Consider the following 15,662-nt stretch of genomic DNA (forward strand, 5'->3'; position numbering starts at 1 on the left):
AACTTGTCATTGCAGCATCTAGTGCGATATCCAGTATACAGTTGACATTAAAAAGTATTTTGCTGGCTGAATGACTATCTTGTGGATAACTTGCCCTAATCTGCAAGAAAAAGATGGAGAAACAGTACTGACAAAAATTAGCAAACAAGAAAATGGGGGGCAGGGAAAGCAGAAAATGGATATTGCTAAAAATTTCAGAAAAAGAGAGTTCAGCTACTTATTTTCCTCCGAATATATTTAGATGTGGTTATCGCTTTTACATATTATAAGCATATTTTCATGACCAAAATTGCTTTTTTAGTGTTTAAATATTTCCTATTTATTTGTCCAACAGATATGATTGGGTGCCTGCTTTGGGCCAGGCCATGTTTAGAATGCAGAACATAGCATCAGTGAACCAAAAAAAACCCTAATTTCATGGAATTTATAAACTCACTGGGAGAGACAAGCCATAAATAACTCTAGCCAAATACTGAAAAGAAACTCTTTATTGTTTTCATGTTTTGCACAATAGCGCAAAAATACAGCAGTGTTAGGTAGAGTCTGGGAGGGAAAACCCCATCAGTTATGTTAACAGAGAAAATTTAATATAAGGAATTGATTAGACAGATATTAGAGGACAAGCAATGCAAAGAGGGAACAAATGAGGCAGGATGGCAAGAACAACAGCAGGAAGCAGCTGCCCCTGTGCTGAGAGGACAAAGAGAAGAAAATGAGCTTCTCAGAACCTAGAAGCTTGGACGAGGGGTCCCCAGAGCTGGGACCCAGACTCCCGTGGAGGCGGGGCTGGCCGGCTGGTGCGGAGACTTTGAGAGCTCAGAGGAGAGTCCCTGAGGAGTTGGGAGGCAGATCTCTTGGGAGGAGACTTGCTTGTGGGCGAGGTGTCTTTTAGGGGTGTGCAAAAGAGCTAGTCCTGGGAAAGTGAAAGAAACTGGAAACTAACCGACTCCTATTGGAAACAAATGCCGCTGCCAGGGTGAAGGGCTGTTGCTGGCCAACTCTGGCAGGAACAGGAAGCAAACAGAGAGGAGCCGGTCCCCTCTCCCACCCTGTCCTTCCAGGCTCCCTATGGTGTCCCCTTGTCAGCAGAGACACTTAGTAAACTAGCAGTGCTGTTTACAGAGTCCCGCCCTCTCCACACAAAGCGGTGTGTAGGAGGGAGTGTTTGGAGGGGAGAGACAATGGCTTGATAACAGGCATGGTCCCAAATACGCTAGGTGACAATGACTCTCATGTTCTGAAGCTAGTTGCTAGACTACCTCAGCAGGACTTGCAGAAGAAATGACTGAAATGTTTTTTATTGTGGTAAAATATGCATAATATAAAAACGACCATTTAACCATTTTTAATTATATAACTCAGGGGCGTTAAATACATTAACAGTCTTGTGCAACCATCACTATGATCCATCGTCAGAACTTTTTCATCTTCCCAAAGTGAACCTCCAGGCCATTTAAACACTAAGCCCCTTTTACCCTGACTCCCCAGGCCCTGGGAGCCACCATTCTGCTTTCTGTCTCTATGTAGCTGACTGTTCCAGGAACCTCACATGAGTGGAGTCATGCAGTGTTTGTCCTTTCATGTCTGGCTTATTTCACTGAGCATAATGTCTTCCGGGTTTATCCGTGTTTGTGGCATGTGTCAGAATTGCATTGCTTTTTAAGGCTGAATAATATGAAATCTGGTTTTGTGACCCTTAGTCCAACGCCCAGTTGGACACTGGGGAGAAGACGTATTTAGGAAGATTTTTTTTGGCATGCTCTGGGTGCCCCTTCCCTTGCCAGCACATGCACAGCATCGTGGGAGAAGAGAAGGTATTTCTCCCCATCCTCAAGTCAAGTGACAGGGGCTTCAGGAGGACCACACAGAAAGCTGGATATGTGCCACTGCAGATGAGATCTCAGACACAGTGGTCTGGACCAAGCTATGCCTGAAAAAATCTAAAGGCTGGTAGAAGCAATCTATGGCAGCAGAGAGTGGGTATTGCTTGGGAAGTAACTGCTACTTTCACTGAAGAGAGAACAAAGGCACTTGTTTTCCTTGGACTAGATGTGGGCCACGAAAGACAGGTGGCATTGGCTAGGATCTCATCTGGAGAGGTGAAGAGATGGCGGGTGAAACATGTTGGAGGTGTAGGGGTGGATGACATGGAACTGTCATAGGCAGCCAGCAGGACGGTGGATTATCCGTTTCAGAAAACTGCTGGTGAAAGGACTTCAGCCATAAGCGTCTGCACAGAGCCAGTGAAAGATTCCATGAGATCCACAAAACACTTCATGAATGAGAACAGCCTTTAGTTCCCACCGTGCCCAGAGATCACTGAACTCAGTTCACGCCAGTGCCAGTCGAAAAGAACATTTTGGCCATATGCGGTGGCTCATACCTGTAATCCTAGTACTTTGGGAGGCTGAGATGGGAGGATCGCTTAAGGCCAGGAGTTTCAGACCAGCCTGAGCATTATAGTGAGATGTCATCTCCAAAAATATATTAAAATTTTTTTTTTAAAAAGCTAGGCATAGTGGCAAGCACTTGTAGTCCCAGCTACTCAGAAGGCTGAGGCGGGAGGATGGCTTGAGCCCAGGAATTCAAGGCTTCAGTGAGCCAAGATCGCACCGATGCTCTCCAGCCTGGGTGACAAGCAAGACCCTGTCCCTTAAAAAAGAAAAGAAAAGGACTTTTCTGGCTCCCTAACCTCTCCTTGCCGGCTCCCTTCACCACCACCGTGACCCTGTCCCATTAACTACTGAGTTGGGAGTGAAGGATGCAACAAGAGAAGAAACCACCTTTCCCACTGCAAGCTTCTTGATAGCAGCAGGTCCAAGCTGGAGATGAGAAGTTTCAAATGGTGATGAAACGTGGAGCCTGGATTTTACACTGGACGGGGAATCAATTTCAGAAGTGAGAACGTTTTGTGACCTGGAGAGCATTTACTTACTATTGAAATTTATGAAAAATCTGTGGGCCTGCCTGAATTTCATTCAAGGGCAATGGAAGAATGAGCCCCAACAGAATAAGTTTCCAGGGATATGAAGTCACCTACAAGTCCTGCCTCGTTCCAGACAACAGGTTGGCCAATAGATGTTTCAAGTGGCGATGAAGGCTGGAAGCAAAACGTGGCAGTCTGGAGTACTGCCTGCGTTGCAGTGAAAGTAATGTTGTGAGGTTGATGAAAAGTAAACGACTGCATTATTTGTAAAATAAAAGCATTTCACTTCTCTTGCATGAAAAGGGACAGGAGGCGGGACAGCAGCAGGCAGGGTTTTGTTTTGTTTTGTTTTTTTAAAGTAGCTCACTTGGTTACACAGCTTGCTAGGTGCAGCTCTTCACGCCTGAGGTTGACAGGTGTTTTATGATCCCCTAAAAGATCATAAAGCTAAAGTTTTCAGATCAAAGGAAAACCAACAAATAGAGGCAGCAGCATTATTTGTGAAAGAACTTTGCCATAAAAGGAAGCAGGGAAGTTAGGGTTGAGACTGGATCATGGTCTGTGGTCATACATAAGCAGTTTTTTTTTTTTTTAGTTGAGATATTGAAGTGTATTTTTACACTAATGGGGAAAATCGATGATTGAGAAGAGAGAGAAGAAAATTACAGGAGAGAAGCTGTTAATTGTCCAGAACATAGGATTCCATGTACGGCTAGGAGGGTTTGTATTATAGAAGTACAGATAGTTCATCCTCATCTCTCTTCCAGGAAGAAAGAGTATATGAGAAGAGATACAAATAGATTAGTAGATTTGCTGGTATAAGCCCATGGGAATCAAAATGGTCCACTCCCCTGAACGATATACTTGATATAGATAACAAATATTTTGTTGATCATGTAATTGTTGAACATATATAGACTGACCCCAGAATAAAATTTAGAACTTATTAATTGCTCCTTTCTTCTAAAAGTAGCAGGAAAGAAAAAAAAAAGCTTTTAAATTGATGTTTCTAGGGGAGGTACAGTAGCTTATGCCTGTAATCCCAGCACTTTGGGAGGCTGAGGCAAGCAGATCACTTGAGGCCAGGAGTTCGAGACCAGCCTGGCCAACATGGCGAAACCGAGTCTCTATTAAAAATACAAAAAATTAGCTGGGTATGGTGGCATGTGTCTGTAATCCCAGCTACTTTGGAAGCTAAGGTCTGAGAATCCTTTGAACCCGTGAGGTGGAGGTAGCAGTGAGCCGAGATGGTGCCACTGCACTCCAGTGTGGGCGACAGAGCAAGACTGTCTCAAAAATAAAAATAAAAATAAAAATAAAAATAAATAAATTGATGCTTCTAGCTATTTGGGGGCATTCATTCCTTCAATTGATGATAATCCACCACCACCATATTTGCCAGATATGGTGACAGACATTACGGATAAAGAGATGAGACACGTATGGTCATTGTCCATAAAGAGTAAAAGTTGGGGGCAATAAACAAGCATCAACAAATGAATACGATAATATTTTCTCAGTTCTATATGAGCCATGGTTGCTGATTACAAGCAACAGAAACTGACTCGTGATCTTTGGACTGATCAGGAATTTATTGAAATATGAAGGACATAGAAAGCCAGAGAACTAGACTTGGAAAATAAATGTGCCCCAGGGAAGCTCCACCATGCCAAGAGTCTTAGGTACAACAGTCAGTCGGACCAGGACCCAGTGCCACTGCTGAGCTCCTGCTGCCACCCTCGGCACCTGCCCTAGTTCTCCTTTGGGAGGTCTATGTATAACAAAGCCACTTTCCCAGCTCCGAAGATTTTCCACATGCAGCTTAACTGAGCCTTTTAGAGACCATTTCACCATCGTAAAAGGCAAGGGATTTTTAGGTGAGGAAGACATGGTAGGATTAGTAATAGGGCATTGTTTATGCTTTACTTTTTTTTTTTTCACTATAAAGTGAATTTCTTGGTCAGCAGCAACGTTGTGTGAGATACTATATATTAGTTACATTAACATAGCATATGGGCCGGGTGCAGTGGCTCGTGCCTATAATCTCAGCACTTTGGGAGGCAGAAGCGGGCGGATCACTTGAGGTCAGGAGTTTGAGACCAGCCTGGGTAATATAGTAAAACCCTGTCTCTACTAAAAATACAAAAAATAAAAAATAAAATAAAAATAACATATCAGTACAGATTTCTGTAAAAAGTGGCATATTCAAAAGATGTTACTGAAGAGAGTTTAGTAAAAGGCCCGTTCACAAAGTGTCAGCAAGGTTAAGAAAACTAACCAGGGATGGCAAAGCATCCTGGGGTTAGCACTGACAGGATTACCATCCTTAGCCTGAAAGGGAAAGCGGAAAGACTGGATTCCAGAACTTGGCATGACTTTAAACCCAGGAAAGAGCTGCCCAGCATCAGCTCTGACCTGCAGGCAAAGGACAAAGCCATTGTTCAACCCAGACCTATCTGGGAGGGAGTTGGGGTAATACATTAACTTGACCTCTGCTCCTGCTGCCTCCTCCCAAATCCTGCCTATGCCTGCTCATGCCCCAGATGGAGGCCTGAGGGCAAAGAAACTTCCTTGGAGAGCCTCCTGGAGGTGCTGCTAGCAGATGGTGTTGCAAATAGAAGCATGGTGGGCAAAGAGAAAATTCAAATGCAGATTAAATGTCTACTCTATTGAATCCCTCTCCAGTTGCTGCCCTCTCCAGGTTGGAAGGTGACCCCAGACAATCAGCCTGCTGTCAGACAGATGGCTGATTCCCTTGAAGCTTTGCATAATGCCATGGGCTCAGGGTTTATTACTAATGCTGGTCGATGGAGCACTCAGCAGTGCCAATCACAAGATCAGCCTGGAGAGGAGAGGAATGTGTTACTGTGCACACAGATAACCGTCAACCTGTTCACGACCCCAGTGGAGCAAGCCCTAGAGTGTCAAGCAAGGAAGTCACCATGACCATCTTATTTTCTTGAGTTAAAAATATTCTTGGCCGGGCGTGGGTGCTCACATCTGTAATCCCAGCACTTTGGGAGGCTGAGGTGGGTGGATCACGAGGTCGAGAAATCGAGACCATCCCGGCCAACATGATGAAACCCCATCTCTACTAAAAATACAAAAATTAGCTGGGCGTGGTGGCACATGCCTATAATCCCAGCTACTTGGGAGGCTGAGGCAGGAGAATCACTTGAACACGGGAGGCAGAGGTTGCAGTGAGCTGAGATCACGCAACTGCATTCCAGCCTTGTGACAGAGCAAGACTCTGTCTCAAAAACAAACAAACAAACAAACTATATTCTTGCAGCTGGGTGCAGTGGCTCATGTCTGTAATCTCAACACTTTGGGAGGCTGGGGCAGGAGGATGGCTTGAGGCCAGGAGTTCGAGACCAGCCTGGGCAATATAGCAAGACCCTATCTCTACAAAAAAAAAAGAAAAAAATACAAAAACATTAGCCAGGTGCCGTGGCATGTGCCTTTAGTCCCATCTACTAGGGAGGCTGAGGTGGGAAGACTGCTTGAGCCTGGGAGGTCAAGGCTGCAGTGAGCTGCGACTGTACCACTGCACTCGAGCCTGCATGACAGAGCGAGACCCTGTCTCCAAAAAAAGTAGATGGATAGTGTGGAGTCTTAATTAGGGAAAAGGAGTCAGGCTGAAAGGACCAGGGGAAAGCGAAGAGAGAAAGCAAATAAGCTATAGATCTGCCTTTCTTCATGGCCCAGGAATATAGGCCTCCTGAGCAAATAATGTGCATAACTCACAAACTTCCTGCTCATCATCAAACACTTCGATTTATCATCAAGCTCCTTGGCTGACAGGAGAATGCAGGTGAGCTCCCTGCTACCTTGGCATTATCGATCAGCCCAAGAACCATTCTATAAAATCTCCAGCAAGCCTTTGTTTCCTGGCAGTCAGCTCCTCTTCTGCTGATTGTGCCCATTGCAACCTGGCAACATATTTTCCAACTTTCTCTAATAAATCTGCTTTTCTTTACCTACAACTGTCTTGGTACATTTGTTTACCCCTGCATCACTGGCCCAGACAGTTGCTGCTAACCCGCGACAGAGAGATAGACAGATGATAGATAGATGATAGATAGATAGATAGATAGATAGATAGATAGATAGATAGATAGATAGATTCTTGCACTATGAGCAATTCTGAGAAGTTCATTTATATGACTCTTCTCCAGATTGTTTCTGTGTCACTAACCAGCCAATATAGTAGCCACTGCAGGGCATGAAACAGGCCTACTTGCTACACCTTAGTTATCTTTAACCAAGACATACACAGCGTCTCAACTCTGGTTAGGCCACCACTGAGTCCAGGTTTTGATTTGACAGATGAGCAAGCTCCTAGAACTGCATTCAGTCGCCCAGGTTGGCACGTGGAGTCCAGACTCCCTGGTAAGCTCACCCATGTTAATAAACTCAATATAGTCTATAATTACATTTCTCTCTCTTTGGCAGTCACCTGCAGAATCTGTATGCGTGGATACTTACCCCAGATCTTTGCCTTCTAAATTCAATGGGCTGTAAATCTTCTGGTGTGTAAACCTTCTGGGTTTGACTTTGTAATATTTTTTCTCTGGAACATGCAGGAAAGTGGCCAGTTACAGACTTGGGGACACTGAGAAGGGGAGGGAACGTGGTGGTGTGGAATGGGCTGAGCTCTCTCCCTCTTACAGGAAACTCCCTCTGGCGGGGGAATGGCAGGCCTATGAGGAAGTAAGCGTTGTCCTTTTCAGGGGAGTGACCTAGTGCTGCATCCAAAAATTCTCATTCCTGTTCTCAGGGCCCAGTTTTGACCCCTGCAGGCAATGCCCTGACTTTCGCATAAAGTATGTGGGGAGGCTGTGAATTCAAGTAATTTGGCAGCCTATAGATTCTCAGTAACCTAGAGTTTATATTTCAGCTGCCTTAGCACTACAGCTTCAAGAGATAAGACAATCAAGCCTGTGTCGAGTTAAGAATTAAATGGGAGGTTGCAGTGAGCCAATATCATGCCACTGCACTCCAGGCTGGGCGACAGGATAAGACTCCATCTCAAAATAAAAAAAAATAAAAAAATAAAGGTTTGTGTTTCTTTTTTCTTAAGCTCATTCAAATGCCTTCCTGCCTTCTTGAATTCCTCATGCCCTTGGTAGCATTCTCCAGTGAGAACGATGTTAACTCCCAAAGCCTTGCCCTACTTGGGTACCTAATTCCTGCAACTACAGGTGATTAGTTAATGAGCTTTCTGCTACCGTACACCATTGGTTGTCAGAGTCCCATTCTGGACTTAATGATGTTTTTCAGAATCTTCATATTTATCTTGGAATGGCCGGAACAATGACCAACACATTTTTTAAAATTTAGTTAAAATTGTGAATTGCAGGCAACAGAAAGGAATTCTGGATATCTTAAGCAGAGAAAACATTTTCTGGAATACAGTAGGGACTGTACAGAATCAAGAGAACCTCGGCTGGAAAATGGGTTTGAACCCTGATCGTCTGAGAAGGACAAGGGCCCCTTTTAGTGAGAGTGATGTGGCCAGGACACTGTCACCCCGCCTGTGCCTTTGAATGACCCGTTTTGCATTCAGAGTCCAGGATGAGAGTTCATGGTTGATTGAATCTAGGTCATAGGGCCAGGCATCTATATTTGTTTCCCGGGGCTGCTGTAATAAATGACCACAAAGTGGGTGGCTGAAAACAACAGAAATGTATTCTCTTGCAGCTCAGGAGGCCAGACGTCCTAAATGAAGTTGTCAGCGGGGCCTGCTCCCTTTGAATTCTCCACAGGAAAATTCCTCCTTGCCTCCTCCAATTCCCGGTGGGCCCAGGCACTCTTTGGCTTGTGCTAGTGTAACTCCAATTTCTGCCTTCTGTCTTCTCTCCTGTCTATTATAAGGACACTTGTCATTGGCATGTAGGGTCCACCCAGATAACCCAGGATGATCTCGCCTTGAAATCTTTAATTACATCTATAAACCCTTTTTTCCAAATAAGGTCATATTCCCAGGTTCCAGAGGTTAGGATGTGGGCATGTCATGGTGTGACTACACCATCTCACGGGACGGGGAGTGGGCAAAGCTCCCTGCTCCCGTGTCTATGGTGAGAGGCAAGGTTCTGCATCCCCCCAGCACTGCACACTACAGAGTTGAGTAGAAAATGCCGTGAGATATTAAAGCCAAAATAAACCAAGATTGCAATCACAGCACTAGTGCCAAAGCCTACCATATAACACAGGAGAGATAAAAGAGAGCACAGGAGACGAATCCTACATGGGACACAAGAAAAGCTTCGTGACACAAGCTGAACCTTCGAAGATACTTGGGTGTGTTAGGTGGTGTAGAGGAGAAAGGAAATTCCAGGCAGAGAGGGAACAGACAAGCAAAAAGCATGAAGGTATCAAATGTCCAAAGCATTCAGGGAATTTCAAGCCCGGATGGAAGAGCAGTGGCACTAGATAAGGAGCTTGTGCTGAAATATAAATCCAGGAAGTCACTATGCGAATTCTTTTTTGTTTGTTTGTTTGTGTTTCTTTGATCACTGCAAGAGTTTCTCCATGATAGAAGCAACACATTGATTTAGATAAGGAGCTTGTGCTGGAATATAAATCCACGAAGTCACTATGCGGATTCCTTTTCTGGTGGTTTTGTTTTTTTGTTTGTTTGTTTCTTTGATCACTGCAAGAGTTTCTCCATAATAGAAGCAACACATTGATTTAGAAAAGGAGCTTGTGCTGGAATATAAATCCACGAAGTCACTCTGCGGATTCCTTTTTCTTTGATTTCTTTGATCACTGCAAGAGTTTCTCTCCATGATAGAAACAACACGTTGATTTACACTCTGGTGCAAAGTCCTCCTCTCGTTGTCACAGAGAAGTCATTGGCTGGCTACTTCAAATGGTGCTGGCAGAGCACAGGGTGTGAATTGGGGGTGGGACATCATGAGCAAAGATGCAGATCAGATTGTGGGGGGCTTTAGGCGACATGCTCAGGTATTTGGACTTTCTCTTTAGAGCTGGAGAGTGATACAATGGTGACACAGAGGGTGACTTTTAGGACTTGAGTGTGACGGCACGGAGCATTGGAGATTGGAGACCATTATATTATCTGTTTCCCCAAACTCAGTTCTTTATTCCAGTATTGGTTTATTTTTGCTTTCCTTTCTTTCTTTTATTTATTTATTTATTTTTTTTTGATAGAAACAGGGTCTCGCTCTATTGCCCAGGCTGGAGTGCAGTGTTGTGATCATACCTCACTGCAGCCTCAACCTCCTGGGCTCAAGTGATCATCCAGCCTCAGTCTCCTGAGTAGCTAGGACTATAGGCATGCACCACCACACCCGGCTATTTTTCAATCTTTTTAGAGACAAGAATCTCATTAAGTTGCCCAGGCTTATCTCAAACATCTGGCCTCAAGTGATCATCCTGCCTCAGCCTCCCAAAGCCAGTGTTGGGAGGTGACAACGTTTTCATCAATCTGTAGTGAAATGAGAAAATTAAACATGATATAGTCAGTTCTTCATAAATTCTGTTCAATTTCAAAGGACTCTCCTTTGGTTTGAGATCATGACCTCCTAAATTTTATGAGGGTAAAATTGTCCATTTGTCTGTGAAATTATGGTAATAGTAAATAGTAGGCTTTACAATATCTGTATCTATCTATTATATCTATCTGTCTACATACCTCTCCATGTCTTTGCCCTCAAGTAAAAAATCAGCTGGTCCCTCTAGTTCTCCAGTTGTCCCTTTGAGATTTTTCTGGACTGTGCAATCTGCAAGAGTGGGAAATCCTGGACCAGGTGAGGACTTAACCCCAGGCAGAGGTGATAGGGAAGGGGCAGGGTTACTCACAAGAGGGATATGATGGAGCTGGAATCCACACCATGAGATCCTTGACAGACCAGATTCTACTATGCTTTGCATACACATGGACTCTGTCTGAAATTCAAATACATAATCAGGGTCAGACACGGTGGCTTATGCCTGTAATCCCAGCAGTTTGGGATGCCGAGGTAGGTGGATCACTTGAGGTCAGGAGTTCAAGACAAGCCTGGACAACATAGTGAAACCCCGTCTCTACTAAAAATACAAAAATTAGCTGGGTGCAGTGGCACATGCTTGTAATCGCAGCTACTCGGGAGGCTGAGATGGGAACATCACTGGAACCCAAGAGGCGGAGGTTGCAGTGAGCCGAGATTGCGCCACTGCACTCCAGCCTGGGCAACAGAGAGAGACTCCATCTCAAAAAAAAAAAAATCATAATCAGAGTTTATTTAGTTTATTTTTTTAGTACAGGTTGGATATTTCTAGTCTGAAATTCCAAATCTGAAATGCTCAAAAATTTGAAACTTTTTGAGTGACCACATGATGCCACAAGTGGAAGTCACGCCTGACTTCATGTGACTGGTTGCAGTCAAAATGCAGCCACAGGACACATGATTTCTTCAGCTTCTCCAAGGGACAAAAGGCCCTTCCACTCCTCTTCGGATGCTATCTATGTTTTCCTCGCATGCCCAGATTTCCCCATGCGAGCACACTAACAAAGTGTAATAAAATGGCATGTGTTCAGGCACCAACCACGGGTTCCCCACGATGCCCCACATGGGGCCAAGAGCTGCGTGCATTACTCAGTGTGGTCTTTTGCTTATTTCCTGCTCTGTGGTGTAAAGATATTGTTGAAAATGTCAAAAAGACCTGCAGATACCCCTATGAGTAACACTGATGAGAAAAAGGAAGCATTTATGTAGTAGTGATGATGAAGATGACATTGTCAACACTGCAGAAAAAGTGCCTGTCGATGGCATGGTGAAAAGGTGCAATGGGCTTATTTAAGGACTAGAGCAGTGTGCAGCCATAACACAAGAAATCATGTCAGTTTATAAAATCAAAGAGAGAGTTCCAAGACAAAAAAAAAATTCTTAATGAGGCAGGTGACTCTGGAGGAAATATTTTTTAAAAGCCATCTAGCAGGCTGGGTACAGTGGCTCATGCCTGTAATCCCAGCACTTTGGGTGGCTGAGGAGGGCAGATTACCTGAGGTCAGGAGTTTGAGACCAGCCTGACCAACACGGTGAAATCCCATCTCTACTAAAATTACAGAAATTAGCTGGGCGTTGTGGCAGGTGCCTGTAATCTCAGCTGCTCAGGAGGCTGAGGCAGGACAATCGCTTGAATCCAGGAGGCGGAGGTAGCAGTGAGCCAAGATGGTGTCACTGCACTCTAGCCTGGGCAACAGAGCAAGACGCCGTCTCAAAATAATAATAATAATAAAACCCTTCTAGCAGAATGTCTCCTCATCCCTAGAGGCCCCTCTTTTTGGTCCCTCAACTGCTTCTGATGTTGCTTCTTGCCTCAAAAAATAAAATACAGGGTACAGTAGCCTTTTAATCAAAACATAGCATTGCAGATGGAGACAGAAAGCGTGCTCTTATTTGTTGCTGTTAACAGCTGACACAGGTATCTCATGTTGTGCTGCTTGGCTACCCTGAACACTTTTTTTAAAAAACTGTATTAATGATATGTCCTATTTTTACTGTTAAGTATTTAAGTGTGAATAAGTATATGAACATGATTGCTTATCAGAAGCATATAAATTTAGAGTCAGGAATGATGGTGAGGTCACACAACCGCAGATTGTCCACATGGGTGGCTGAGATAGTGACGCCTTTTCTTTCTGATGGTTCAGTGTACACAAACTTTGCTTCATGCCCAAAATTATTAAAAATGTGGTATAAAATTACCCTCAGGCTATGTATATAAGGTATTATGAAACAACCATGAATTTTGTGTTTAGACTTGGGTCTCATCTCTAAGAAATGTCATTCTGTCTATGCAAATCTTCTAAAATCCAAAATACGAAACACTTCTGGTCCCAAGCACTTTGGTTAAGGGATACTCAAACTGTAATAACCCCATGAGTGCCTCTTTGGGAGCAATTGTGTTACACTAATATATAATTCATCGTCACGTTTCCCCTTAATTCAGCCTTAGAAAAATCATTAGGTGACTTACAGCTTTATGGTTGAAAACCATGATCTTCATTTAAAAGCTCTTTCTTGAGCAACCTTTTTTCAGTAAAATGACTTTGGGATTACTTGTCCTCCATCCTGCCTAAACCTTCTTTCCTGGGAGAAAAGAGGATGAGTAATACACATTCCACTCCTTCTCTGGAAGTGCCTTTCGTATGTAATAGCAGAGCAGTCTTCTTCCACGGTACTATTTTGGGGGACCTATTGCTTTTATCTCAACAAAACTGACAGCTGTTTTTGTCAAACTGACACCAGCAGCCAATGCCTAGGGGAAGCCGGGCGCTATATTTTCATTTTTCTTCACTCTCGTGTTTGATTTTCTTGTTCATTTCTGACATTCTCTCATCTACAAAACCAAAATGAATTGTAATATAGTTGCAATGAACATGGCCTTGTCATTGTCTGTGGAGGGATGGCCTTTGGTAACTGATCTCATGACCAATATTAAGCTGTGAGCTCTCTTTTCCGAATTTTTGCATTATCCTCTTACAACCACCTCCCTCAACATACACACACACACACACACACACACACACACACACTCTCTCTCTCACACTCCCCACCCAGATGTTATCATGTTCATTTCCCCTATTTCGTTTTGGGGGCTAATATCCTACTCTTAGTGAACAGTTCATTTAGACACATACTCCTTGACATTTTTCGAGGAAAACAAAGTGCTCTCAGGGAGTATTTGATCTCTTTCCGCTAAGATAAACGCCCCTCACGTTGTTCACTTTCTTTCATCATGTTTATCGGGGGTAACTTTCTAGTCCCTGATGGGATTCCAGAGAGGATCGTATTCTCCCGGTGCAACATATTTTGTTGTTTTGAAGCTCTGAATTTGTTCTGCTCATAGGATTTCAAGGAGAGATGCCAGCTGTTCCTTTCCTTAGCATTTCCATTGTAATCTCTCTGGTGTATCATTAAGGAGTTCTGTGTAGAGGAGAAAATATTTATGAAGCTGTTTTACTGGCTCATTATTCAAAGGGAGTTGGAACCAGAGTCAAAGTGTCACCCCAATCTAGAAAAGCTAATATTGCTTGCTGTCTATACTTTTGTATCCACCCGTCATATGCTTACCCCAGGCTGTGCTTATTCAGCTCTTATTCTGTGTTACTCCTGAATTAGTCTGTAGCTTTGAGACAGTACGGACCACCCATCTTTGTTTGTCTTACAGCTACCAAAGCATCTGTAGCCTAGTAGGTGCTTAGTCAACATTTCTCAAATTAAATTTAGTTATAGTAGAGCTCTATCATACATGGCTAGCCTCTCCTCTAATGCTGACATCTATGGGACTTAAGAGTTTGTGATCCTTCCTCCTCTAGTTTCATTTATTTTCTTACTGTGTGTATTCTCTTTTGATTTAATAAACTCTAATGTCCCTAATGGGCTATGTACTAGATTAATGATTTTTTTTTAATTTAATTTTTTTGAGATGGAGTCTCACTCTGTCACCCAGGCTTGAGTGCTGTGGCGTGATCTTGGCTCACTGCAACCTCCGCCTCCCAGGTTCAAATGGATTCTCCTGCCTCAGCCTCCTGAGCAGCTGGGATTACAGGCAGGTGTTACCGCACCTGGCTAATTTTTGTAATTTTAGTAGAGACGGGGTTTCACCATGCTGGACAAGCTGGTCTTAAACTCCTGACCTCAGGTGATCTGCCTATCCCGGCCTCCCAAAGTGCTGGGATTACAGGCATGAGCCACTGTGCCCAGTCAATGATGATGTTTAAATGAAGTTCTCCTGAGATTCATGACCATCTGAGTTTGTTGTCCTTCAGTTACCACAGAGACAATATGCCCAAGTCTAAAACCTACACCTCCTGTCGCATTTCCTCTGATGGTGAACCACTGTACTGTCTTCCCTGGGGCCATCCTTCTTTTCTGTTCTCCACGTGTTTGTACAGTAGACATTCATTGAACATTGTAAAAATACCAAAAAAGATGCAGAGATCATAAGACATATTGTCCCTGTCTAGAAAGTGCTGCCGTCAATTATGGAACATATGTTCACACAGCTCATACTGTAATATAAAATACAAGGCATTGCTGACCATTATGACATTTCAAAATCAGTTACCAGTATCTAGACCTTCTTATATCCTATTTCCCGCAAATGCATACATCTTAAGTAAACTAATTTGGATGTATTCACATGCATTACGAAGGAAGGGTTTATTAGAGTTTATATATGGCCATTACTAAAGTTTCCTTTGCTTTACCTTGTATTCTTTCTTCTTCCTTATTTTAGGATAGTAGTGGTACATTGTACTGTATCAGGCTTATTATCAGAGCGTCATCTTCAGCATGTTCCCTGCCTTAACTCTGCATGAGTCACCAGGTCCTATTAATTTGGTTCTTTCTCCTTAATATCCCTTCATTTCAATCCTTTCTAAGCATTATTAATATCATTCTTTGCTAACATATTTAACCAAGTTCTTTCTCTGCCTTCATTGTGGACCCATCCATGAAGTGCCAGTCTACACTACTGCCAGAGGCAATTTCTAAAACCGAGATCAACTTTTGTCATTCTTCTTGTTGAAATAATTCAGTGGTTCCCCATGATGTTCAGAAGCTGGACTAGGTCCTATATGATCTGACTCCTGCCCTCTCTTCCAGCCTCTTATTTCGCCATTTGCTTCCTTGCCTCCCTTTCTCCTCGCCATCTGTATAGTTAAGAGTGCGAACGCTAGGGTCAAATTATCTGGGTTCAAATCCTGGCTCTGCCACTTACT

The 15,662-nt window shown here is 43.5% G+C and overlaps 1 protein-coding gene and 1 long non-coding RNA gene across 6 annotated transcripts in view, besides 2 other annotated features; one reads left to right on the forward strand and one right to left on the reverse strand.

Moving 5' to 3' along the window:
- TRMT9B (tRNA methyltransferase 9B (putative)) overlaps positions 1–15,662 on the forward strand; it is an 84,105-nt gene that overhangs the window by 25,844 nt on the left and 42,599 nt on the right. The gene's annotated exons all lie outside the window — the stretch shown is intronic.
- Positions 790–1,309: an enhancer, noted in NCBI's record as "H3K4me1 hESC enhancer chr8:12829815-12830334 (GRCh37/hg19 assembly coordinates)". NCBI's record gives its function as "activates a minimal SCP1, AML or CMV promoter by ChIP-STARR-seq in naive H9 embryonic stem cells {active_cell/tissue: H9 hESC(naive)}" and the evidence as "EXISTENCE:reporter gene assay evidence [ECO:0000049][PMID:30033119]".
- Positions 5,066–5,653: an enhancer, noted in NCBI's record as "OCT4-NANOG-H3K27ac hESC enhancer chr8:12834091-12834678 (GRCh37/hg19 assembly coordinates)". NCBI's record gives its function as "activates a minimal SCP1, AML or CMV promoter by ChIP-STARR-seq in naive H9 embryonic stem cells {active_cell/tissue: H9 hESC(naive)}" and the evidence as "EXISTENCE:reporter gene assay evidence [ECO:0000049][PMID:30033119]".
- Positions 13,727–15,662, reverse strand: part of LOC124901889 (uncharacterized) — a 51,754-nt gene continuing 49,818 nt past the window's right edge. For all 5 annotated transcript variants that reach the window (XR_007060825.1, XR_007060829.1, XR_007060826.1 and 2 more), the window contains exon 6: positions 13,727–13,863. This is a non-coding gene — a long non-coding RNA (uncharacterized LOC124901889). The remainder of the gene's footprint in view (positions 13,864–15,662) is intronic.

Source organism: Homo sapiens, chromosome 8 (assembly GCF_000001405.40).
Source record: "Homo sapiens chromosome 8, GRCh38.p14 Primary Assembly".
Classification (NCBI taxonomy): Eukaryota; Metazoa; Chordata; class Mammalia; order Primates; family Hominidae; genus Homo; species Homo sapiens.